This window comes from Homo sapiens, chromosome 15 (genome assembly GCF_000001405.40).
Source record: "Homo sapiens chromosome 15, GRCh38.p14 Primary Assembly".
Taxonomy (NCBI): domain Eukaryota; kingdom Metazoa; phylum Chordata; class Mammalia; order Primates; family Hominidae; genus Homo; species Homo sapiens.
This window is the reverse complement of record NC_000015.10, coordinates 70,009,201-70,034,510: the sequence shown is the minus strand read 5'-3', so window position 1 is coordinate 70,034,510 and position 25,310 is coordinate 70,009,201. Positions and strand designations below refer to the sequence as shown.

General features: G+C 50.9%; 2 long non-coding RNA genes across 2 annotated transcripts in view, besides 6 other annotated features; both read left to right on the top strand.

The window, feature by feature from the left end:
- Positions 1,055 to 1,665: an enhancer, noted in NCBI's record as "H3K27ac-H3K4me1 hESC enhancer chr15:70325185-70325795 (GRCh37/hg19 assembly coordinates)". NCBI's record gives its function as "activates a minimal SCP1, AML or CMV promoter by ChIP-STARR-seq in naive H9 embryonic stem cells {active_cell/tissue: H9 hESC(naive)}" and the evidence as "EXISTENCE:reporter gene assay evidence [ECO:0000049][PMID:30033119]".
- Positions 1,666 to 2,278: an enhancer, noted in NCBI's record as "H3K4me1 hESC enhancer chr15:70324572-70325184 (GRCh37/hg19 assembly coordinates)". NCBI's record gives its function as "activates a minimal SCP1, AML or CMV promoter by ChIP-STARR-seq in naive H9 embryonic stem cells {active_cell/tissue: H9 hESC(naive)}" and the evidence as "EXISTENCE:reporter gene assay evidence [ECO:0000049][PMID:30033119]".
- On the top strand, positions 2,249 to 6,412 carry LOC124903518 (uncharacterized). The gene is made up of 2 exons (XR_007064697.1): positions 2,249 to 4,555; positions 4,641 to 6,412. It is a non-coding gene; the product is annotated as an uncharacterized LOC124903518 (long non-coding RNA).
- Positions 6,413 to 9,813: 3,401 nt separating this feature from the next.
- The window catches only part of LOC101929129 (uncharacterized), a 52,221-nt gene continuing 36,724 nt past the window's right edge, over positions 9,814 to 25,310 (top strand). Inside the window, exons 1-2 of the long non-coding RNA XR_001751593.2 lie at positions 9,814 to 9,884; positions 10,011 to 10,114. This is a non-coding gene — a long non-coding RNA (uncharacterized LOC101929129). The remainder of the gene's footprint in view (positions 9,885 to 10,010; positions 10,115 to 25,310) is intronic.
- Positions 11,239 to 11,408: an enhancer, noted in NCBI's record as "experimental_40838 CRE fragment used in MPRA reporter constructs". NCBI's record gives its function as "activates a minimal promoter by MPRAs in K562 erythroleukemia cells, with activity observed for both the introgressed and non-introgressed 15:70315527 or rs12441546 variant alleles {active_cell/tissue: K562}" and the evidence as "EXISTENCE:reporter gene assay evidence [ECO:0000049][PMID:34662402]".
- Position 11,323: a transcriptional cis regulatory region, noted in NCBI's record as "Neanderthal adaptively introgressed variant 15:70315527 (GRCh37/hg19 assembly coordinates) or rs12441546 in the experimental_40838 CRE". NCBI's record gives its function as "modulates activity of the experimental_40838 enhancer by MPRAs in K562 erythroleukemia cells {active_cell/tissue: K562}" and the evidence as "EXISTENCE:reporter gene assay evidence [ECO:0000049][PMID:34662402]".
- Positions 17,650 to 17,699: an enhancer, noted in NCBI's record as "active region_9667". NCBI's record gives its function as "activates an Ori minimal core promoter by ATAC-STARR-seq in GM12878 lymphoblastoid cells {active_cell/tissue: GM12878}" and the evidence as "EXISTENCE:reporter gene assay evidence [ECO:0000049][PMID:35858748]".
- Positions 19,106 to 19,609: an enhancer, noted in NCBI's record as "H3K27ac-H3K4me1 hESC enhancer chr15:70307241-70307744 (GRCh37/hg19 assembly coordinates)". NCBI's record gives its function as "activates a minimal SCP1, AML or CMV promoter by ChIP-STARR-seq in naive and primed H9 embryonic stem cells {active_cell/tissue: H9 hESC(naive and primed)}" and the evidence as "EXISTENCE:reporter gene assay evidence [ECO:0000049][PMID:30033119]".

Sequence of the window (25,310 nt, the reverse complement as noted above, 5' to 3'; positions counted from 1 at the left end):
TCTCTTGGTCACTGTGGCCAGAGCCCACCTGACACAGGCCAGCCATCTCTCCCCCACCCGTGACATTCCCCCAGCAGCCCTGCCCTGTGCCTAGTGCTCCATGTATTGCCCTGTGGGCCCTCCTGCCACCATTCTTGATGCCTCTGGGCCTCCAGGGTCTCAGGCCTCACCCTGGCCAACTTCCCTCTCCCTGTAGTCCAGAGTGTCCTCAGCTCCCTGCCTCCCTCTCTGCACCATTCCCAGAGCAGGCCTAAGTTTTGGCTGTGCCCCAGGATTACTGGGTGTGATTCTTTGCGCATCTGTGCCTCAGTTTCCTCATCTGAAACAGCGGGGTGGAAACCAGACGTCAGAATCCCACCCTCTGCCATGGTGGGCCCAACCCAGAACAGTAGCACCCTGGCCTCCCCACAGCCCCATTCCAGATGCCGAGTTTCGGGGGGCGGCCAATTCTGCAGGGAGGGGTGGCGGCTGGCTTGTCTAGCCAGCGCTGCTGCTATCCCAGTCCCAGCCCGAGGCAGCCCATCTCCGCAGCTCTCTGCTCCACGGTCCACCATTAGCGCGCAGCGGCCCTCGCCCCTCGGGCGGCCCCCGCACTGAGCAGATGGCAGGGGAGGCGATCGGCCGCGTCAGCTGCTGTTATCTCTCGCTGATGACACGGAGTGTAAATTTTGTTGGCAACACTCCCTCCTGCCTCTGCATGCCACCAGCTTTAATCACTGTAATTGAGTTATAATGAATGATTGTGTGTTCGCATTGTCTGAGCCAGGCGCAGCCGGAGCGAGTGAGCGGGGCTGGGCCCGCCCGCCCGCTGGGGTAGGGGGTCCTCCCTGCCCCGGGGAGGGGGCATCGCCTTCCCCCGCGCCTGGGGCGCTGGGCCTGGGCTTTGCCACTGCCCTGGGCTCCCTTCCCCCAGCATGGAGGCGGCCACACACCACAGCAGGGCTTAGTGCTTGTTTTTCCCTTATTATCATTTTCAAGTGACACAATGCATTCAGGAACATTGTGGAATATTTGGGAAATTCAGATAAGCCAAAAGAAAAGGAAAAGAAGAAAAGGAATGAGAATCACCGAAATCCTGCCCCTCGGCGATAACCTCCCTGCCCCACTACTTTACATTTTGGTGAATATTCTTTCAGACGTTTTACCACGCCAATGGAATGACAGCCGCTGCCTCCCGCACCCATCCCTGTGCGTCTGTGCCCGGTGCCTTACTACAAGCCTAGCCTCACTTGACCTCCAGAGGCTGATCCAGGAAGTGGCTCCCAATTACTCCCATTTTACAGAGGAGGCAACTGAGGCCCAGGGAGCTCAATGGACCTCCCAAACACAAGCAACCAGCTAGTGGGCTGCCCTGCTTCAAACCCGGTGGGGGCTGAGTCTGTTGGCCCCCTCCTAAGTATGCAAATAAAGTAAATTTTGAACACCCTTCTCTGTGCTTTCTCCAGTCCCCTGGTGCCCAGGAGAAAAGCAAAATTGTCTCTCGAACTGTAATGTTCTTTTTCGTTACAACATGACAGTGTCCATCCAGGGAGAGGGAATGTTGGGACTAGGTTTGCCTATTTCAGGAGAGTAGCCACCAAGTCCCCTGTGGCATCTCTGGATAGGACTGTCCCTGGTTCCCATGGCCCTTTGGGCTGCTGCCCCTTATGAGTTCGGGGGCCCTAGGCAAGACACTGCCCCATCTGTAAGTGAAGGGTAAGGGGAGCCTTCTGGGGTGGTCTGCCATCTCTGGTGGTGTTGGGGTCCCAGGAGGGTGGGCCAGCAGCTAGTGTGGCTGTAGGGCTGAGTTGACACAGATTAACCTCCAGAGAGGCTCCCTGAGTAAGGGCAGAGGGAGGTGCTAGTGAGACCAACAGCAGTTGCCCTGGCCAGGAGACACCATCGGGTAGGGGTTGGGGGTGCTGATCCCTTTGCAGGCTGTGGTCCTGGGGCAGGGCTGGAGTATGGTGGACAGCAGACAGGGCTTCTCCCAGCTCCAGCCTGACAGTCTGCACCACCTTGGCTGGTCTCATCCTCCCAAATTTCTCCTCTGAGCACTGATTCTCTGGTCTAAAATAATAAATTTCAAGGTCGCCCAGTAGTTTCTCCCACTCTTCCAGATAGCAGCATTTATTTTTTATTAAGTGACAATAGTATTGTTATTATCAATACACATATTATGTATACTTATATAGAAATATTTATATGTCTATAAATAATAGTAATATTTTATAATGCACAAATAATTATGATTATACGTGACATTTATTGAGCACTTAGTATGTGTTAGGCTTAATGTTTCTGTGCTAAGTTTATTTTCTTTTGTGACACAGTACAGTCCTTTTCTACACCAATAAGGTAAAAGCCATTTGTAAATAGATGTTTCAGTGCCTTCAATCCTGCATTTTTAAAGCCAAGCTCTCCAGCAGGACTCAACTCAGTCCTCTGCCTCAGACCCACCTTCACCTCTCCACATCTAGATGGAAGGGGGCTTACGAGTCTCCTTGCTTGAGGCAGCTCTCCAAGGAAGTTGCAATGATTGTTCTTCTTGGAGTATTTCTTGGTAAGGTATTTCAAGGGCCCTTTAGAGAACTGCTTCTCAGAGAAAACAATGATGACTTTTGTGAAGTGTTCTCAGTAAACAGCATTCTCCAGGTTTCAGGTTTCCAGTGCCTTTGGCCTTCTCTTTTGATGATGGTTCTGGTTTCTAGGATCAAAAGTCCTTTCTTCCCCAGGAGGACCCCAGGTGCCAGGCTCCATGTTTCCTGATGCTCTGTAGGCACAAGGGACATTGGTAAGGAAAGCGTACTGCACCCTCTCACTGTCTCATCAAATCCTCCCCACAACCCCAGCACCAGCTCCATTTTACAGAAGAGGAATCTGAAGCAAGAGAGGGTAAGTAACTTGCCCAGGGTCACACAGTTAGGCGATGGTGCAGGCTAATGCTTCCCATGCACTGTGGTTGGCACTGGGGGATGAATGAGACACACACAGCCCCATTCCTTGACACACTTCAGGGCTTCCCCGGACAGCTGACCTATCCCCATGCATCACCCCTGCAGACACACCCCACACATGTGTGGGCATACCCATGACATCACTGATCTCTGCAACATAGTGGTTGCCCTCTCCACTGTGCACCGCCCGGTACTGGACTTGTCCATCTGGACTTCACTGGCAAGGCAAGGCCTTTGACCTGAAGGGGAGGGATTCTTCTTTCTTGCCTTAGGAAGATCACATGGATCCCGAAGCTGTGCAGCTCCTAGAGACTAAGACCCTCCTCTTACAGATGGACGCCACAGACAGACCCATAACACACGGAACTCATATAAGCCACTGCTCGCCCAGAAAATGTCAGGTCATAGTGCTTGGCCAGTCACCTCCTTCCATCCCCGGCATCAGGCCTGCCCTCCGGAGCTGCTGCTGCTTTCTCCAGGGCTGGGGCACAGGTCTACTCTGTGGAGGTCTTACCTGTCCTTCAGTCCCCATACCCTAGACACAGCATGCTGGCCCCCAGCCTCTGGTGCTTCTGCTGTAGGGTGTCAGGAATGCATAGGGTGTGGGGTGTAGGTTCTGCTATAGGGTGTTCAGCATAGGCCAGAGATACAGAAAGGAGGGAGGAGGAAGGAGGTGGCCATTCCCATGAGCCCAGGAGGACCCCTGATTGGGGTGAGGCTGGCAGTCTCCTATGTCCCTGTATCCTTTCTAGTGACTTGGCTGACTCCATTATGGGCTCTTCTTCTAGCCCTGCTGCCAGTGTGGTCCTGACAGCCTGGGGTAATCCACTGTCTTAGAAGGTGTTCATTCATTACTCTTCTCTTGGAAACTATCTGAGGTTTCCCTAAGGGAAAGACAGAGGGAGAAGGAGGTGGCTGGAGCTGGACCACTCACTGCATTTTTTATTTCTCTCGTTGGCACCCAGAACTTTCCCAGGGACGTAGGCCTCTAACTGGACCTGGAGAATCCTAACTACTTGTGGTGTAGACACATGGTTGCTGGCCTACGGCCTTTGGACTCCTTCAAGTTTTCCCCATAGGGGATGCAATGGCACTGGGATTGGGCAGCTGGACACAGCTTCTTCTTGGTAGGTCCAGGCAGTGAGCAATGCAGGGGGCAGAGCTGGATCCAAGCCCTGGATCTGCCGCTGGTACACTGTTGACATCAGGGGAGTCACTTTGTCTCGTCCTGAGTTTCTTCATCTGTGAAGTGGGCCTAAATAAAGCTATCTCCTAGAGTTACGAGGTTTGAGGAGTGCATAGGTCAAAAGGGGCTTTGTGAACAGTCAAGTACTGCCCATATGAAGTATGAAGTACTTTGCCAAGGTGTGTGGCCACCCCAAGCTGGCCCTCAGCCACCTTGGGAGTTGGTGAGGTTTGTCTTCCAGGCTGATCTCAGCCCCCCTTTGTGCCTTATCCTGACTTTCAGTCCTGTGCTTCTCTCCCACATAGGTGCCACTATTGCTGTGTTGCTGCCTTTCCTAAGACAGGACACATTTCTTTTCAAATGAGATGGCTAGACAGGACAATGCTTAACTCCAGGGCAGGCTCTGCAGTGGCACCCCGACTCCTGCACAGAGGTATTTTTGGATGAAGCTAGAGCTTCCTCTTGAAGAGTGCCACAAATGGCAATGGTCAGTGACCTCTTGTCTTTTGTTTTTTCAGGAAATGTGATGCCCACATTATGCAGCCTGACCACAGACTCCCTCCATGGTTTTCACAGAATCCTTAGCTGGTGGAGCTGAAAGAGACCTGCAAGAGTCCTTTCACCTTCTGCCAAGCAGTCAGGGTTTAATCTTTGCAGCTGCCCTGGAGGTGTTTACCATGTCCCCCATTTTCCAGAAGGCGAAGCTGGGACATGGATTAGGTCAGCTGTCCAAGGTCATGGAGCAGGATCCAAAGGAGGCCTGGAGAGTGCCATCTGTCTGGCCCCTTCTTTGTGCTGCCTCTAGAGGATACTGGGGAAGCCTCCTCTTGTCTGACTCTGCCAGGATACCCTTGGCCATCAAGTGCTCAGCTAAGCCACAGTGCCACTCTGGGTCAGGCCGACCTGGGCCCAGCTGTGCAGGATGAGGTACAGGAGGCAGCTGCCACAGCTGCTTCCATTCAACATGGCCTTTTTCCCAGTGGGCTTGGTGCCACCCAGGGCTTCGCTCAGGAGGGTGGGGAGTGATCAGGGCACCATGGTTCAGACTGATTATGTGACCTTAGGAGGAACTGATGGGTGAAGTGAAGCAGGGGTAGGGCAAGGGAAAAAGTGGCCCAGAAGCTTCAGAAGAGAAGGAGAGCCAGACCCTTGTCAGTGGACAAGGGCTCCTGATTTTAGGAAAGCTGAGTGCAAAACCAGACCAAGAAAAGAGAGCTCAGATTCTGTCTATGGGCACAAACCTCGGAAAGGGTCCAGAACTCCCCAAATGAACTATGGATGGCTCCATAGTCAGAGATTCACAACCCAGGGGTCTAGCAGGAGCTCATATCTGACCGGAAGGCTGGGAGGACTGGTAAGCTCCATGACAGGGCAGGCCCAGGTAAGCAAGACAGGTGGGAGAAACCCCGAAAGGCTTCTAGCCTGTTTAGAGGAAGAGAAGCCCAGGAAGAATGGACTCACTGCCTTGGCAGGTAGAGAACTAGAGGCTTGGAGTTCTGCTTGGAATCCCTAACCTGGAAAAGTATCTCAGATAGGGCAGGGCAGGTATCACAGCACAATGGCTAAGCTCAGGCACAGGTGGTCTACAGACCTGGCTTTGACCCGCGGCTCTTCTCTTTGCTAACTTTCCACATTCATAGGCAGTGGAGTGGAGTGGCTGTGAACACAGATTCTATAGAGCCAGACTTCCTGGGTTCAAATGGCAGCTTCGCCAGTGATCACCTGGGGAATCACCCAGGTGCTGTGATGGTTGATTTTATGTATCAGCTTGACTGGGCTAAGGAATGCTCAGATAGCTGATAAAACTATTTCTGCGTGTATCTGTGAGGGTGTTTCTGGAAGAGATCAGCATTTCAATCAATCAAGTGAGTGAGAAGACCACCCTCACCAGAGCAGGTGGGCACCATCCAGTCCACTGAGGGCCTGAATAGAATGAAAGGCAGGGGAAAGGGAGAATTTATTTTCTGTTTGAGCTAGGACATTCATCTTCTCCTGCCCGTGGACATTGGCACTCCTGGTTCTCAGGCCTTGGGCCTCGGAAAAGTACTTAGGCCCCCATCCCCACCCCACCCACCCACTCTTAGGCCTTGGGACTTGGACTCAGACTGAATTATGCCGCCAGTCTTCTGGTTCTCTAGCTTACAGATGACAGATCGTGGGACTTCTTAGCTTCTGTAATTGCGTGAGCCAGTTCCTATAATCAATCAATCTATCTATTTATCAAACAATTTATCTATCCTATTGGTTCTGTTTCTCTGGAAAACTCTGACTAATAAAGATGCTTAGCCCCTCTGTGCCTCAGTTTCTTCCTTTGTTAAATTGAGGTAATAATAGTGTCCACCCCATGGAGTTGTTGTGAGGATGAAGTTAGTTAAAGTATATAAAGTATTCTGAGCAGTTCTTGGCACCTACAAATTAATCAATGAATATTAAGGATTATTATGCTAGCAGCTTAACTTCTCAAGTATAAAATAGAGCAAAAGGCATGTTAGGAAGATTCCCAACACTGACACTTTGTGGAGACCTGTGCTATACATGTCATCCCTGTTAGAGAAGCCATTACCACGGTGGGTGAGAGTGCAGCCCCTGGACCTGGCTGCTGTGTCTAGTGTGGTTCCAGCATCTAATAGCTGTGTGACCTTGAGCCAGTTACTTCACCTCTCTGAGCTCCATCTTCCTCACCTGTCCAATAGAGATAGATACACAATAACACCTATCCCATGGAATTATTGGGAGAATTAGATGAATTCATATGTGTAAAGCACTTGGCACACTGGCACATAACTGCTCAGTAAATAATTAAGAGGAGAAAACATGGAGGCAGGTGCTTTGTCTGAGGCTCATCCACAGGGTCCTGAAGGACCTCCTGGTTATGAGAAAAGAACCTCGAATCCTTCAGGGATTGGGAACACCAGCCTCCCTCTGTCATCCTTCCCTCCCCCATGATGCAGTCCTCTTCTGTCTCCAGCCACCAGGGCCCAGACACTTGGTTTTCAGAGAGAGACACTGACCTTCTTGAAGGCAGAGATGGGGTCTTGTTCATCTTGTACCTTCAGTGCCCAGTGCAGGGTCTGGGGACACCGGCTGGGCAGGGAAGGGAAGGTGAGGACTGCTGATCTCTGGCTGGGGATTTGGCCTCTCAGTGTATGGACTTTGCTCAGTGGGGGCTTATGCCCACCTCAGGGGTGGGGCCCAGGCAGATTCACCGTTTTGTGCTGCCTTGCCTTCCCTGAACCTTGCCGCTCCTCTGAGCGGCCAGTACTTCCAGGAAAGGCTGGTGGAGTTGTGGTGAGTGGAGAAGCCCAGCTGGAGCTCAGGTGGGCCAGAGTGAAAGCAGGAGACTGAAAGGTATCAGGTTGGGCGCCCAGAGCCTGGCAGGCCCCTGCCTCACTCCCCAGCACTCTTTAGAAGCCGATTCCTGCTCATGTGCCCAGCCACAAGTCCCCAGGTGTGACTGTCCCTACACTCTTGCTCACTCTCCAGCCAAGTCTTGTCTTTTTGAGGGGTAATGAATTTTAGGTCTGCAGAATTCCTTGATTGTCTGTATTAGTTATTCCCTCAGCATCCCCTCATGTTTTCTTATATTTTACCCATTTACCATTGATACACATCCTTAGGATCTAAAAATGAGGGGATTTAGCAGCATCAATTTTAAGGATCATCGACTTTTTAAAAAAGTAATTAAGGAATGCAAAGAGGAAGCCTGACCCAAAGCTGCAATCAGGCTGTGGGCTACTGGGGGACATGGGAGGAAGCCTGGTGGCCTCATCCTCCCATTTCTGAATCCTGGCCATAGGCTGGGCCTGGGCTCCTCAGGGCTCTTCCAGCTGCCACTCAGAGAGCACAGCTGGTTTGCTCTTCGGGCTGTGGCTCTGGGTCTGGAAGGAGCAAGAAACCCATGCCTGGGCAGAAATCTCAGGTGAGAAACTGGATACCAGAAGGGCTGTGCAGGGCCGCTAAGTTGGCCTCAGCGTTTAGTTGAAGCCACTTAGTTGTAGAGCAGGGAGAATGGGGGGTGGGGTAGGGGAGGGAGGCATGGGTCCCTCATCAGAGAAGCCTTCTGCTTTCCCTACACAGCAGCCAGCATCCTGTCTGAGCCTGCAGGGGAGAAACAATTTTAAAGTAAAAACTTCCAGATAAGCAGGATTCTCCCATTTTACAATGACTTCTGCTGCTCATTTGACCCTTGTGCTTCTGTGGTGGAGCATCTCTATTTGACAGTGATGGAACCTGAGACTCAGAGAGGGCAAGTGAGTGACTCAAGGCCACACAGCTGGGCAAGGGAAGCCATACGCAGGACTCCATCCACAGCTTGCTTTTGCCCCTCTACCCAGCTGGGTTCTGAGGCCAGGTCCTTGTCACAGTCCTCAAGCCTGGCTGGCACACAGCAGGGAAGGAAGAGTTTTCCAGCAGTTTCTGCATGTCCCTTCCCTAATGGGGACTAAGAAGGAGGGCTTAGTCCCTAAGCCAGGGAACTGAAAGTTCTGGCCACGGAAACCTCTAGATTGAAGAGCACCAGCAGCTGAAGAGTGGGCCAGAGGTTTTGCAAGCTGCTGCCAGGCTGCCTGCTTTCTGGTGCTTAGAGAGGAAGGCTGACCTCGAAAGCCCTCACCGCATCCATGAAGCCTTACAAGACCTGGCCTCCGGCTACTTCTCCAGGCTCACTACCCCCACTCCACTCTCCCCTCCACTCTCTCAGCACTGCCACATCGACTTCCTAAAGCCCGCCCAGCCTGCCCAGCCTTGAAGCTTCGTCAGCTCTGATCGGCTGGCTTGGAATTGCCCTTCCCAGACACCCTCTTGGCTCCCACTCACATCCTCCCTTTCCCCAGTCCCTTCGGTGCCTCCAGACCTCCTGCATGATGGGCCTGTTCCTTCACCACTTGCCGTCACCCTGTGGGGTGGGTGTTGAGTTTCTTCTTCATCACCTTGGTCAGTGCTGCATGTTACTGTGTAGCCCTTGGTTGCTTCTCTCCCCTACCAGTGCCCAGAGGGCATGAGCTCTCTTTTGTACTCTGTTATATCTCCAGTTCCTGGGGGTAGGCACCTGATAAAAATTTAGGGAATGCATACATAGCCTAGAGGCCAATTTCCCCTTTAGATGTTGACTGTCCCTTTTCTCCAAGTAGGGAGAGTGGTGACGGGGCGTGGAGAGGCAGAGGGGAGAGAAGGAGCAGTGTTACCAGCGAGTCTGTCTGGCAATGATATCTGCCTCAACCCCTTTTTGTCCCAGCGGTGTAGACGCAGGTCAGATGACTTTCCAACTCTATGCGGCTCTTGCCTGTCCCTCCATCCCTGCTGCGGTGAACCTCTCATCTGAGCCTCCCCAACAGTTTGTGCAAAGACTCCACTTAACGTTGGTCTGTTGACTGTCACGGGCATCTGTGAGCCTCCTGTGCCTTCTTGTTTAACAACGATCTCAGCTTGTGGCGAGGGAGTGGTGATGGCACAGGGTAGAGCTGCCAGAGGGGTCAGCTTGGCCTGGGTTCGGGCTCAGGAGTGCCAGCTTCCTCGAGGAGTGGGAGGTCGGTCATGCAAGGGAGAGCGTTGAGCCCAGGCCCCAGGATAACTGAGACTGTTTGGAGGTGGTGTCCCCAACCCTCGCTTACGTGGGCGGGTCTCAGCGGGGCGAGGCTTAGCTTGCCTGCTGAGCCCTGCAAATGCAGGTGAGGCGGCTCAAGCGTTTCCACCTGGACTGGCGTGGCGCTCAGGCCTCTGCGTCTCTCTCTTCCCGTGTATGCAGAGTCAGCTGCCCTGCCCTCGTGGGTCTGTGTGTTTGTGAGCGTGTGTCTATTCGTGCCATGAGTGTGACACCTGTGGGTGTGTGCTTGTGTGAGCTGTGTCTGTGTACACCCTCACATGTGTCTCTTTGTGGGGCTTTCTTCCAGGCCTGTGATTCTAAAATCAACACAACCAAATCCACACTCGTCGCTGGCTTTCCCTGCCCTGCTGTGGAGCACATGAACCCGGGGACGCATTCGGCTTTCCTTTGGTAAGTGAAGGCAGGTCTTTCCTCTTTAAAGGTAAATTCCAGGAGGATGAACACTATAGAGGAATTGTCCCGGAGATAGCTGGCTGGTGGCCAATTCCTCTTGTAAAAAAGATCCCCCGTGTCTGTGGAGCCAAGATGAAACAATTCTTTGGAATTAACCAAGCTAATTTTGACGAGCAAACATTTTGCTACAATGAAAGTTTTTATTGTAACACATAAAAGTCAAAACAACACCCAGTCCCCTTGGGGGAGACAGGCGGGTGGTAAGAAGAAAAACAGCGCACACACAAGCTCTAACTAATCATTGTGAAATCAAAAGTGCTCCTGGCTGCCAAATTAAATGCGACTAAAAATAACCGTGGATAGGAGCCGCTGAGGGGCAGCCCCGGAAGCTGTTGATTCTTTGGCTTACTTGAGGAATCACAAACCCCGAGCCCTTCAAGCACAAGCCATTGTGTTCCAGGGAAGGGTAAGGCCCAGACAAAGGGCATTTTAGCTTCTGGAACATTCCACAGGCCTGGGCCAAGGCAGCGGTGCCTGGCTGGAGTAAGGAAGGAAGCTGTGAAGCTGCCATTTCTATGGTGCCTAGTGCTCTCTGAAGCCAACCCCAGCTGTCCCATAGATCCCCACATTTGGTTCCCACTGGGCTCCTCTCAGGGAATCATCACCCCTCCCAGCACCCCCCATCCCACCCCTCACTGCTCCCTCCACCTCTCACTCTTGCCTGGACCTCAGCCAAGACCAAGCTTCTCGGCTGTCTTTTGTGATGACTGGTGTCTTGGGTTCCCCGAGGTTTACATGACCACTGTGCTTCTCGGTGTGCCCCGTAACAAACACCCCACATTTTGGTGAAAGAAGCTCCCTTTGGTGGAAAAAGATTTGTATTGAGCCCTGGGGCTATGTGTGTGTGTGTGTCACAATAGAGGATGAACCCAACCTGGGAGGAGCTGTCTTTACAGAGTGTGTGGTTAGCACTGAATGATGTCACGTTAAACCAGAAAGCATTTCCTGCACTCCTGAAGTAGGGGGTGGGACTTGTCTCCAGAAGCAGGGCTCAGACACTGGACCAAATTGAGGACTAGCTAAGAGAGAGACCAGGCGGAAGCAGCTTTCATAAGACATGCCCACCAGTGTGTTATGTCAGTTTACCATTGCCATGGCAACACCCAGGAGTTACTACCCCTTCCCATGGCAATGACCTGATGACTCAGAAGTTCCCTTTGAAATTTCTGCATTGACCACCCCTTCATCTACATGCAATTAAAAGTAGGTATAAATATTACTGCAGAACTGCTCTGAGCTGCTAATCTCTGCCTATGTGAGCGTAACACTGCTGCTTCAAGAAAGCTGTTTTCTTCTATCCTACCACCCACTTGCCCTTGAATTCTTTCCTGGGTGAAGACAAGAACTCTCATGGGCTAAGCCCCAGTCTGGGGCTGGCCTGCGCTGCATCACTCCTACTTGATACTCAGAACTGTGCTGGCCCTAAGACACAGTCTGGGCTTCCAGGAGCTCACACTCAGTTATGAGAAGGGGTACATAGGCACATAAATAACTTTAAAAATCTGCCCATTGTAAGAAGTTTGCAAACATATGCCCTGGGAGCCCAGTTCTGTTTGGCACAGTCAGGGCAGACTTCTTGGAAGAAAGGTCACTTGAACTAGCCTTGAAGGATCCAGACAGGAGAGAGGGGGACAATGTGTATTTCCTGGTGTTTTTCACTGCTTCTTCCCAGGTGAGCGTCCTGGGTCCCTAAAGATAGCACAAGGCTTTGACAGGCAGGACTCATTTTATCCTACACAGACCCCATCCATTCATCTCTATTTTTTCTCAACTCCGAAACACATCATCTGTCTGACAGGACATTTTCCAAAATGCATGTTCACTGCATACTTGGAAATAGGGTCATTTAGAGACAGATCTAGGAGAGGAGGAGAAATCAGCTTTTTTATCTGATATACTTACAGCAGGAGCCAGCCCTCTCTGTGTGGTGGTTTGGCACACAGACCTGAGAGTCAGATGGAACGAGGTCTAAATCCCTTTTTCTCTACTTGCTAGGGAGGGGTGTATAAAGTGGGAAAGTTCAGTTGATGCAGAGCAGGTGAGACCCAAAATTGGGGCTTAGCCCAGGAGGGTTCTTGGCTTCACTCAGGAAAGAATTCAAAGGTGAGCTGGGGTGTTAGACAGCTTTTTAAAATCCATGTGGCAGTGGAGAGCAGCAGCAGAGGCACTGCTTCTTGCAGAGCAGGGCTACCCCATAGGCAGTGTGCCCAGAGTAGCCCTGCTCTGCAAGGCTCGCCTGCCCTGCATCACAGTGTCCTCTCCAAACCTTAGCTTTCTTTTATGTAAAACAGATATCAGAGTGTTGACTTCATAAGGTAGATCCCTTTATTACTATTATTATTATTATTATCATTATTATTATTATTATTTTTGAGACAGAGTCTTGCTCTGTCACCCAGGCTGGAGTGCAGTGGTGCAATTTTGGCTCACTGCAACCTCCACCTCCTGGATTTAAGTGATTCTTCTGCCTCAGCCTCCCAAGTAGCTGAGATTACAGGTGCCCACCACCATGCCCAGCTAATTTTTGTGTTTTTAGTAGAGACAGGGTTTCGGTATGTTTTCCAGGCTGGACAGGGTTTCAGTATATTTTCCAGGCTGGTCTTGAACTCCTGACTTCAGGTGATACACCCCTCTTTGGCCTCCCAAAGTGCTGGGATTACAGGTGTGGGCCACCATGCCCAGTTCCTTTATTATCCCTTTTATTGATTAGGATATGCTGGCTTCAAGTAACATAATACCAAACAGATAATGGCATAACCAGTACATATATATATGTGATCTTAGTTGACAAGGCAGGTGGTTCCAAGGCTGGTGCAGCAACTCAACAATGTCAGTGAGGGCCCAGGCTCTCTCTATCCTCCTGCTGTGACATCCTCAGCAGGTGTTGCCCCATGGTCACAAGGCAGTCACCCTGGTTCCAGGCATTATATCCTTCCCAAAAGCATCACCAGCAGGAAGGAAGGGAGAGTGGGAGAGGGCCCAGGGCTCTTTTCTCTTACGTGTCTTCATTCGGGAGGAAAATCTTTCCTGGAGGTTCCCATTTACTTCCTTCCCATCTTGTTGGTTGGAACTGTGTCATTCGGCAACTCACAAGCCTATCACTGGCAAAGAGGAAACGGATTACCATGATGGATTTAGACCCATCACACTTCATCACTTGAGGCTGGGCATGCTGATATCACTTTGATACAGAAATCTGAATGAATATTGAGTAGACAACCAGCAGTGCGAGCCACTCCATGGGCCACCAAGTCTGTAGCTGGCACTGGGATGGGCACAACAGGAATGCAGCCATACTTGACACAAAGCTCCACATTGGGCTGGGTCTCAGGGAGAGGAGGAGAAATTATTGCCCACATCTAATCAGAATCTAGATCACAAGCCATCAAGGGTCATACCTAGATGCTTTTAGAGACACACAGAGGTCTCAGAAACACTACCCTCTCTCCAGCATCAAATGCCCCCAGCCCCACCAAGTACATGTAACACAAGGCTTTGCAGCAAAGAGCCTGCAGGAGGAGGCTGGACTCCCAGCTCAGCCTGAGACTTGCTATGTGGTCCTGGGCAGATTACTTGGCTTCTTTGGGTCTCGATGCCCTCCTCTGAAGGGAACCATACTCGCTCTGTGGATGCCATGTGTCTGGTGAAGGCCTTCAGATGCAGAGAATCATCTGGGAAGTTACGATGCAGGTCAGGGTGAAAAGGAGATTTGATTTGTAACACAACTTAGGAGTGGGGCTCTCGGGCTCCTCAGCAGTCAACAGCAGGTTGGACCTGGTGTGCTTTTAAGGTATCTTCCAACTTGGATGTGCTGGGATCCTGTGCCCAGTAAAGTAGTGAAGTAGTCGCCACTTGGATTCAGATTCATGCTCTGCCACATACAAGCTGTGTGACCTTTGGCCACGTTGCTTAACCTCTCTGAGCCTTAGTTTTCTCATCTATAGAAGTAGGGACATCTACAGAAGTAGGGACATCTACAGAAGTAGGGATACTTAAAAGATTGTAATGGTTGAAATAATGTGTGTGACGCCCTTAAGGGTGCCTGGCACACTGGTAAGTGTAGGGGAAACGTGGACTATTATTGCTGATATATTATTTTATATCATTCTTACAGCAACCTCATGGTTTAGCGATTATCGTCCCATCTATTGCCCTTATATGTGAGGCTCTGGGTGACAATGAGGACCTGTCTACAGTTCTTCATCCAGTACAAAGGCAGAATTTGAATCCAGGTCTTCTGACTCCTGACTCTTCTCCTTTCTACTGCACTCTGTTTCAGTCTGGAGAGAGATAGTACAGCAAAGATGGGGTGAACACTCAGAAGGGGGGGCAGAACACACACACACACACACACACACACACACACACACACACACAGTCTGCCCGTGCTAAGGTCTCAGCGAAATTGTAAAGAATAATAACAGCTAGTCTGCTTTTGTGTATATGAAAGCCTCCCAAAAGGAATTGTTCTTATCTCCATTTTATAAATGACAAAATGATGTTTAGAGAGGTTCAGAAATATGCCACACAGTTGTGCAGAGTCCTTGATCTGTCAGGTTCCAGGTCCCAAATCCTTGATGCTGGGCCAGGCTGCAGTAAGTCAAGCTGGTATGGCCTTTCTGGGTCCCCTCTGGCTTTCCAAGCCTCTTTTCCTCACCAGTCACTCCCAGGTCCCAGGGCACTTAAGCCAGCACCTCACCCTCTCTGTCCAGGAAGCCTCAGAGCAACCAGCGGCCCTCTCCCTTGGCCTTTCCTGGAAAGGCCCTCTGGGTCCGTCCCTGCAGGAGCCTCCTCCCTCCTAGCTTGTGCCACCTCCTGATGTTGAGCTGCTTACAAGTCACACTAGCATCATGAATGGTGCGAAGTGTGTCATCACCCCTGCCTCTGCTTCCGTCAGAAACCTTAGTTGTAAATCAGCAGAATCTTCTGAATATCCTTAATCCAGAGGCTAGATCTAAGGATAAGAATGGCAGGGATCAGCAGGCAGTTGAGGAAGATATCTGGGCTGGAGAGTGGCTGGGGCAGTCTTCAGGTCATGCCTGGAAATAACCTCTTGCACAAGTGGATCCTGCCTAATTTGCTGAGTGCTTTCACCTGCATTCCCCTGCTTGCGCCTCCAGCTCCCCTGTTCAGGAGGCTGGGCAGGTGTTGCAGGCCCATCTACCAGATGCAGAAACCAGGGCTTACCAGTGCCTAAGATCACAGAGCTGGTAAGAGGAAGGTTCTTCAGCCCCAACCCTGAGCATTTTCAGTTCCCCAGGGGCTTTGTCTAGGTAGCATTGGGGCAAGCACTCCGTCCAAAAACCTTCAGCCCCAAGATGTTGGAGTGTCACTTGGACGGTTTGCTCCCTGGTGAGGGGTCTGGACTTGGCTCTTTCTCATGCTGGCATAGCCTGTATGCATGAAATATCTGTGGGGGAGAAAGCAGGGTTTACTGGTTGGGGAGCAGCTTCAGGGAGCTGGTGGTTCTCAGAGAGGTTTGCCCAGCCCTCTCACACCAGCACATCTGGCTGAACTGTCCTGAGCCCAGCATTCTGCAGCAGGTAAAAAAGCAAAGCAAAAGTTCATGTCAGCCAAACGCGGTGGTTCATGCCTGTAATCCCAACACTTTGGGAGGTCAAGGCAGGTGGATCACTGGAGGTCAGGAGTTTGAGACTATCCTGGCCAACCGTCTCTGGTGAAACCCTGTCTCTACTAAAAATGCAAAAATTAGCAGGGCATGGTGGTGGAGGCCTGTAAACCCAGCTACTCAGGAGGCTGAGGCAGGAGAATTGTTTGAACGTGGGAGGCGGAGGTTGCAGTGAGCTGAGATTGCACCACTGCCCTCCAGCCTGGGCAACAGAGTGAGACTCCATCTCAAAAACAAACAAACAAAACATTCATGTCAGCCAGCAAAACCTGGAGCCATACACCAGCTCTGATTTTCCTTTCTGCCTCCTATCTTAGACCCTTGGGTTGTGGATATTGGTGCTGTGGAGGCCTAGGGTCCAGGCTTGGTCATTTACCCTCTCTGGGCTCTATCTATAAAAACAGGGTACTTGTGTCTCCAGAAAGCCCTTCTTCACCTCTACAGCCCCTCCTATCCCCTCTGCCCTGCCCTCCAGGTCTCTCTGTCACACACACAGACTCACACTCTCAGGTGCATTCACAGAAAAACACACAGACAACATATGCAGACTCACACACAAACATAACACACACAGGCACATTTACATACACAAGCAGGGACACACTTATACACACACCCACAGACACACAGACATATGAAGACAACATTTCTTGTGCCACATCTGCTCTCAGTCACAGGCTGGAATTTTGTAGAACTGACCTCAGTGTCCCGGTTCAGTGATCCTCAAACATGACTCCACATTAGAATCCTCTGGGAGCTTTTAGACCACACCCCAGACCCATCACATCACAATCTCTACAGGCTGCTTCCAGACATCAATATTTTTTAAAGCCCCTAGGTGACTTCAATGTGCAGCCACGGTTGAGAACCAGTGACCCCCAATTTATTTCCTCACCTGGGAAGGAGCCCCCTAGAGTGAATTACAGAGAGGCACCCCAGCACCAGATGCAGAACTCACATTTCCAGGCCCCATCAGTCTCCCTCCAGCTTGCCTAATCAACCCTTGACCCTAATTGCCCACAGCAAGGGGCAGAGTTCCATCACCACCAGCCAAACCTCTACTGCCACTTTAGGGAGAGAACTGAGCAAGAATCACTTTCTTTCATCCACGTGTTGGGGAGGGATGTTTCTCAGATTGGAGGAGACCACCTGCATGAGAATTCTTGAGAGCTTACTAAAATGCAGATTCACAGGCCCCAGCACACACCAGCTGAGTTGCAGTCTCTAAAAGCTGTGCTTGAAGCCTGCTGGTGACACACGGTAGGCTAGTCTGAGAGTCAGAAGACCAGGGGTTGAGTCCTAGCTCTGTCCCTGACTTGCTAGGTCACTGTTGGTGGGTCTGGCCTCTTATCTGTAACCTCTTGGGGAGTCTCATGAAAAGCAACAAAGTCTGTCTGAAGGAAGACTTTGCAGGCACAAGAGCGCTGTATAAGTCGGTTACTTTATTGTTATTGTTGGTTTTGTGCTTGTCATTTACACTCTCTGGGTCCTGCTATGACCTGACGCCTCAGTGAATGAATGCGGGTGGAGAGCTGGAGGGCTGATAAGCCCTGGAGATGCTGTAAAAATAGCCACATGCTGGTCATGCACAAGGTGTGGGGTGAGAGTGGTGTATCTATCAATGTCTCTGTGCCCTGCAAAGCAGGGATGATGAGCAAGGCCCTGTAATTATTATAGGGATGTTCTATTGCTCCAGCGAAGCCTGGACTTGAATGAAGTCTTGGAGAGAGGGAAGAGGAAGGCAGAGGAAATGGAACATTTTTGAGCACTAGCTACATACTAAGTAATCCATGAGGCACTTTCACGTATCAGTGCATCAAGTTCTCATGCTCAGTTTTACCCCCATGAGGTGAGAAAATGGAAACCCCAGAAGAGAAAACAGAAACTCAGAGTTACGACCTGTCCCGAGTCACTCAGGCAGCAATGGCAGGGCTGGGGTTAGAACCCAGGAAGGTCTGTTTCCTGAAGCCCCGGGTGTTCCCATGTACCACATGGCCCTCCACTGTATGAGAGCTTGCAGGCTTCACAAACAGCCTCTCAGCCTGCTGGAGGTGTCCAGCCTGAAGCCCAGAGCCCTTGAAGGATCTTTGCCCATGTGATGTTGGGGGATCACCCAGCCAGACCCCTGCCCTGCGTTCCCTCAGCTTTCTGGGGAGGATGAGAACATCTGAAGTCAATCGCATTCTAACAACACAGGGTTTCAAAGATAAAGATCAAAGGCAGAGGAGGTCAAAGAAACCAATGTCAGATTCCCCCCAGATTAAAGCAAAAGGAGCCGCACTCCCTGCAGGCTGAAGTCTCCAGGACGCCTGCCTGGAACCCGAAAAACTTCTCCAGCCTAGACTCTCAGCATCTGTCAGCTAGTGCTGTGGTAACAGAGGGCAGGTCACAGATGGACAGAGTCACACAGAACGGGTCAGGGAGTCCTGAGAGGGAGAGAGAGAGAGAGGGACAGAGATGGAGAGAGACACACAGGGAAAGCAAGACACAGCGAGCCAGACAGAGATGTTCAGAACGAGGCAGAGAAGAGAGACAGAGAGAGAGAGAGAGAGAGAGAGAGAGAGAGAGAAAGCAAAACAGAGAGCCACAGATGCAAAGTGAGGTATCGAGGCATAAAAATAGTGTCGGAGTAAAGCAGAGGCCAAGCCAGGCTGGGAGAAATCCTGAGCGCAGGACAAGGCTGGCCCCGGAGGCATCAGTGTGCTGTTGTGCAGGCAGAACTTTCCACTGATCACACCCCCTGCCCGTCAGCCCATCCTTGATCTGCCGTCCTTTGCCTCCACGTGGAGGCTGGCCTGATGTCTAGATGGAAGGCCGAGGCTCCCAGGCAGAGGCTGGCAAACAACCCACCAAACAGGCTGGAGGGGCCCCCTGGGGGTCAGGAGGGCTGCGGGGACCTGGGTCCTCAGGCCCCTTAGAGACTGGAAGCCTCCCACCCCCTACTCTGCTCATGGCCTGGCCAGACCTGCAGGGCCCCCATGGTCCCAAGCCCTCCCGCTGTGGCCTGTGCCTTACTTTCTCCCCTCTCCCTGTGTGCACCAAACTTGTGAAGCCCAAACCAGCCTTCCCCTCCTCCAAGAAACCCACTGGGATTTCTCCAGGCTTCTTTTGTCTGCATTGCAGCCTCATGGTTCAGTGATGCAGTGTTTGTGTTCTAAATGCCGTGCACAGAAGTTCTGTGTTCCCTCTTTCCATCTCGATGTCAAATCCTCTTCCCTTTCCTCTTCCCTCCCCTCCCCACCCAGGCCTCATGGCATGTGCACTAAAAGGCTTCCATGAGGTTCTGAAATGTGCTCTTTTCATTCAGAGAGTGCTCATTCCTTGACTGCCTTCAGCTGATCCTCAGTTCGGAGGGTAGGAAGCAGAGGACAGCGTCGTGCCCAGCCGACCGGGGAAGGAGGCCCAGGCAGGAAGCTTGTGGAGCTAGCAGAGCAGGTCTGAGGCAGGCTCAGCTCTCAGCCTTTTGTTATGGACTGCCCCCTGCCTCCAGCCTCTCTTCCTGAACCTCACTCAGGGCAAGAGTTGAGCATCTGCATTAGGCGGAGGCGGGGTTATTCCACCTTGCTGGCCTGGCTCAGACCTAAGAGCCTCATCCCCACGGGCCCAGCCTGCAACCTGGCCTGAACCTGCTCTCTCACTTCCCTTTCTCAGTGGTCAGCACCTGCTGAGCTCCCCACACCCTTGTTCCCACCCCTGCCAGGCACACCCTCTTCCTTTCCCCAGAGGCCTCCTTCTGGGCTGGTCCTGCTTGGCCAAAGCCAGAGGCAGGGCTACTCAAAGTCCAGTGGGGGGAGAAATGTGAACCCACAACCCACCCAGAAGGAGTGAGAGCCAGGCCATCGGGGACCCCCACATTCGCAGCAGTAGTTTCCCCACCAGACTGAAGTGTGTCTAGGGCTGGGGCCATGCCTGCTGGTCTCTGTATCTCCCAAGCCTAGCCCAGGACTTGGCACTTAGTGGATGCTTGGACAATTGCTGAGCAGGTGAAGAGGGTCCAGGCAAAAGACTGAAGCCCTGACAGCTTCGAGCTTCCCTGCCTTCCTTCCTGCCATCATGATGCCAATGACAAAGTGATGCAAAATAAAAATATCACTGAGCAAAGCACGAACAGCGTCACAGCTGATACCCACAACAACTCTGGTGCCCAAGGCACAGGAGGCTTGGTGACTTTCTCAAGGTTCCCCAAGCCAGTGAGTGGGGAGGGCACAGTTGGACTCTGAGTGTAAGCTCTTGGGCACACTGCTGGACCCCAGGAGAGGCGGGTTCTCACAGCTCCCCTGTGACCTGAGGTGAGTTCCATTTCCCCTCCGAGCTTCAGGCTCCTCGTGTGTGAAATGAGGTCTGAACTCCTTGGGTTCTTCATTCCCTTTTCTCGGTTAACATTTCCTAATAATTTAAGGGAATGAGATCACCTCCACCTCCCTTGATTAAGATTCATGCAATAGTTCGAGGCAAGACTCCTACCTTCAAAGATCTTACAGTATAGTGGGGGTGAGACATAGTCTATCTAATATTCAGACAGTGGGGCTGTGGAAGCCTCAGGGAGGGGAACTGGAGGCCTTCCTGGAGGAGGACGGGATGGGGTGGGCCCGCAGGGAGGAAGCATTTGCCCTGTGGATTTGTCAGGAGGGGAGGGGTGGGTGTGAATGGGAGTGTAGTTGAGAGGAAGAGTGCAGGAGGAGGACACCGGCCAGCTGGAATGGAGAAAGCCATGAGTTTCTAGCAATTTCCTTTTCCAAGCCCCTCTTGCAAGTGAGCATCTTTAATTTATTAAGGGACTGATTTGAAATCATCCTCCCTCTCTCCCTGCCCACACTCCACCCTCCACTGCCTATATTTCCCCTGACCATAAATTTCTTTTTAATGACAGTTTAGAAAATGAGCAAATCTCTAGTGACACTTTTATCACCCCCAGGATACTTTTAATAAGAGGTTTCGGTAGATTGCATTCTGGGAGTGGGGGGAGGGGGAAGGCAAGACGGTAGCTTCACCAACCTGCGCAGAGCTGTTCTCCCCGGTCCCAGCCCTGCAGCCCCCAAAACCACCCCTCTCCACCCCACCCCTACCTGGAGGCACCCCCTGACCTAGGACTGCAAATCCCTGGGTTCTAGCCCCCATGCTGACAATCCACTCACCTCGTAGCCTTGGGCACATCCCTTTACTCCTCCTCTCCCTCCCTCTCTCATCTGTAAAATCTTGCCTATGTGCAAGAGATAATTAGTGCAGACCTATTAATAATGGTTAAAAGCAATTAGCTGCCGACACTTGGTGCCACACCTAGTTACTCAGACTGGCAAATCGGGCCCCAGAATATTTCTCAAACTACAAACAGGGCCAGCTCAACTGGATTTGAAAGCATGGCTCTAACCACTCCACTGGTCACTGGGAAGTGTGTGTTGCAGGCCTCTTTTTGTGCTCACTCTATGTTAGATGTGAATGTACTGGAAAATCCATGCGGCACCTAAAATGTGATGTCTCCTTCAAGAGTTTTCAAATGAGCTGGGCAAGCAAGAAAAGCTGCCCAGAATAAGGTTGTGTCGGAAAGATAGCCTGACAGGGCTAGGAACAGGGTGGGGCAGCACAGGGGCGGCCCATGATGGATCCCTAGAAAGGGGAGATTTATGACATGGGATTGACTGGGAAGGGGAGGATCTAGAGGGAACTGTCACAGTTCAGGAGTAACAAAAATGCTGAACAGAAGCCATGAGCAAGGCCTGGGAAAGAGGGCCATTTAAGGAAAATCAACAGGATTTGGGGGCTGGCTGGATATGGGGCATGTGAGCCTTGAGGTTTGGAATAAAGGCAACGGGAGGTTCACAAAGAAAGGCAACCCTGGAAGATGGCAGTCCATCATTGAGTGACCTGTAAAATGATTCGGTCCATTTTAAAACACACAGAAAAAAAAATTGTTTTCTTTAAGAAACACACTGTTGAGGGCAATTTGAATTACAGTTAGTCTGGGAAAGGTGACTCAAGCCTGTAATCCCAGCATTTTGGGAGGTTGAGGTAGGAGAGAGTCACTTGAGCCTAGGAATTCGAGATCAGCCTGGGCAACATATTAGATATATATTAGAGACCCTGTATATATATATATAAGGCATATATATGCTTAAAAAACAAAGAGGGGTTAAAAGTTAACTGAGTAAAAAAGTAATTTGGGTGATCTGCGTGCTTAGGGATCTTGACATTTACTGAGCACCTACTATGTGCCATTCACTGTGCTTTGCACTTTGAGGAGCTGGTGCACTGGAAGAGTTTATTGCTGTGTACAACTTTCTAAATGAGAGCTATCCTGCTTCTTATCTTTGTTATTGAGCAGAAATCATTATGGCCATGGATAGGAAATGAACATTTAGGGCATAGAAAATAATGATAGTAGCTAATAGCTCTTGAGTACTTACAAGGTGCTAGACAGTGCTCTAAGTGTTTGCATGTGTTAATTTGTTTAATGTCACAAAAATCCTAGAAGGTAGGTGATATTATTATCAACCTCATTTTATAAATGAGAGGTTGAGTGCCTCTCCCAAGGCCACACAGTAACTGCCAAGTCAGGGTTTGAACCTGGTAGCCTGACTCCAGTGCTCACGAATTCAACTACACTCCAGACAGCAGCATCTTGTCTGTTTCTAACCCTGAAGAGGAGTCAGTAGCAGTGGGGGTGACTTTAGAGAAGGTTCCAAAGGGTCCCCTGAGAGCAGACTGTCTCTGAAGACAGGAAAGTCTTGAGGGGAACCGATGTGAAGTCTGGATTATCAGTTTCTCACCACACAAAGATGCAGGAGAAAAACCTGGGGGGCTTTAACTGCCTTTCTCAAAGGGCTGCAGGCAGGGGCCCGAGGGTATGCCTGGCTCATAAGGTGTTCCTGGCCTGGAAGCAGAGCTGGCACCAGGAAACAGAAGTCTGGAGAGGGAAGATTAAATTCCATTTAACCTTGAATTGGAGACACATACACTGAAAGAGAGGTGGCTCTCGTTCCGTTTTTTCTTTACATTTGCTCTAAGTGTATTTGAAAAGGCCTGAACACAGGACAGAGGATGACACAGGAGTGAGAAGCTATAGTTTTGCTACCCAGTGTCTGCAGGGTGCTGGGCACACCACTGGCCTTGCTGAACCCCGGTCTCCTGGCCTGCGAAATGCAGCAAAGCATCTTTATCTCAGAAAGCGGGGAGCCTGCAACGTGTTTAGCTCCTGGCCCAGATTTGGCCTTCCGTATTCTGTAATTGGTAGCTATTATTATTATTATGGCTATAACTATAGATCATTAATTTACAGTTTAAAAATGCTTCACCTATTTCATTTTACACTATTATTTTACTGAAGAATTAAATTTTTATGAGAAATTCTCCTAATTGGCTGGATTCAATGTCATCCCTGCTTCTTGCAGCACAGACTGGCATTACCAGCCATGACATCTCTCTGCCCACCGGGCCCCTCTTCTTCATCTCGTACCATCTACGGAGGGTCAACTCTGTGCCAGCACCGTCCTGGGTGCTTTGCAGATGTTCTCTTCAATTCTGAAGACAGCTCTGCAGACAGGACTTTTTCCCTACCTTGCAGATAAGGAAGTGGAGCCTCTGAGAGTTTGGATGGCTTGCCTGAGGTCACACAATTAGGAAACACTGAGCTGGGATTCAGGACCAAGCATGTCTGTCACTAAAGCCCAGGCCTCCCAGCTGGCAGATCCAGGGCTTAGGGGATTCTCTAGAATGGAGCTGGCTTTGCACAGTGGAGACAGTGACCAGCTAACGGCCCTCCCAAGGACAATATAAGCTCTCCAGAGATGTTTCCCTTTGGGCTGAGCAGCTCCAAGAAACCCCAAAGAAGCATTAACCAGGGGGATGCCACCTCCACTCACCAAGTGTCCCCCAAATGGCAAGGGGAGCCAATTCCTTCTCTGGAATCCCCATGTCCTTGTCTCCCTGGCTCCCATCCTGGGCTTAGTTGCCCATGTTCAAGGGACCAGATGTGATGCAGGGAATGGAGCCATAATAATCCCTTATACTTGCCTGGCCCTTGTAATTTGCAAGAAGCCATTTCACATACCCCATGGCCTCTGAGCTAACAGGGAGGTGGTCACCCTGTGAATAAGAACACGGGTCCTTGGGGCACACTAACTCAGGTTCAAGTCTCTCTTCCACCCCTTCCTTGCTGTGGAGCCATGGGAGAATCGCTTCACCTCCCTAAGCCTTGCTCTCTTTACCTGAGGAATGGGGAAAATACCCGCTACATAGAATCTTTACGAGGGTCCACTGAGGCTATGCATCTATACATATGCATTATGTTTATTTACATAAAATCTCTCTATTTACATAAGTCTCTTAGTAGCCCACAAATAAATAATAAATACTGATACATGGTAATGCTTTAATACATTCATGTTAACTAAGCATAGCCACACTCAAAGGAGGATGATAAGAACTATTTTTTAAGCCAAGACCTCATATTTTGTTTTATTTTCCACTTTGATCATCAACTCACCTACGAGACTGTAAGGCCTGTGAGGCCAGGGCCATGTCTGTCTGCTCAGGACTCCCCTGAAAGCACTTAGCTGAGCCAGGGGCTCAGCTAATCCTTGTTTGAACTAACTACCTTGTTTAATCCTCACAACAGCCCTTTGAAGTAACAGGTATTATCATCCCCATTTTATAGATGAAGAAATGAAGTTTCAGAGAGATAAACAGGGTCGCAAAGCTAGAAACGGTGGGATTAAAGTTCAGACTCAGGTTCCTGACTCATGAATCTGTGCCATGAGCCACATCATCCTGCCTGGGAGTGATCTTTCTCTTGACAGACGGAAGACTAGAACCCCACTTCCCAGGGCTTCACGCCCTGAGTGCCCCCCATCACATGAGAGAATGTGGGTGGGGTGGCCCCAAGGCCCAGCCGCTCAGCTTTCTGGGGAGCACCAATTGGTCAGTTGCCTGAGAGGTCCCGCGATAAAAGCTTGCGGATGAGGAAAATGACAGTGCCCATCACATCCATGTCTCCACATGGCAAGACTTAAAGCAGTCCGGGGACACCACACACTTCTGTTTCCCCAGGGAGCCCTTCCTCATGGAGCTATTTCCTCCATAGAAGGGAGCCCGGCCATGCCGGGGGTGCTCATCTGTTCAGGAGGGAGGGCAGTGGGCTGCCGTGAACTGCGGGAGCCACAGGAGCTGCAGCCCTGGTCTAGGCCAGCCAGCCTCGCTCTCCCTGGAGTCTGGAGGGAAGCTGTCCTTGGGAACCCATCAGGCCTTATGTTAACTATCAAGTACTTGATAGTAACTGTTACTTTGCTGGCCTCAGGGAGCTGGAATCACTGGTTGAAGACCATTTGCCCCATGAGAAAAGAAGCAGGCATTGAAATCCAGACCTATCTGACTCCAAGTCTAGTGTTCTGGGGCCTTCCCTAGCCTCAATCTGTGTATTTATGATCAAGTGCAACCCAAGAGGGCTCTACTGCACAGGGACATCCCCTTGAAGCTACTGCCCCCTTGCTCAGAAGGAGGGTGCTGAGGGCC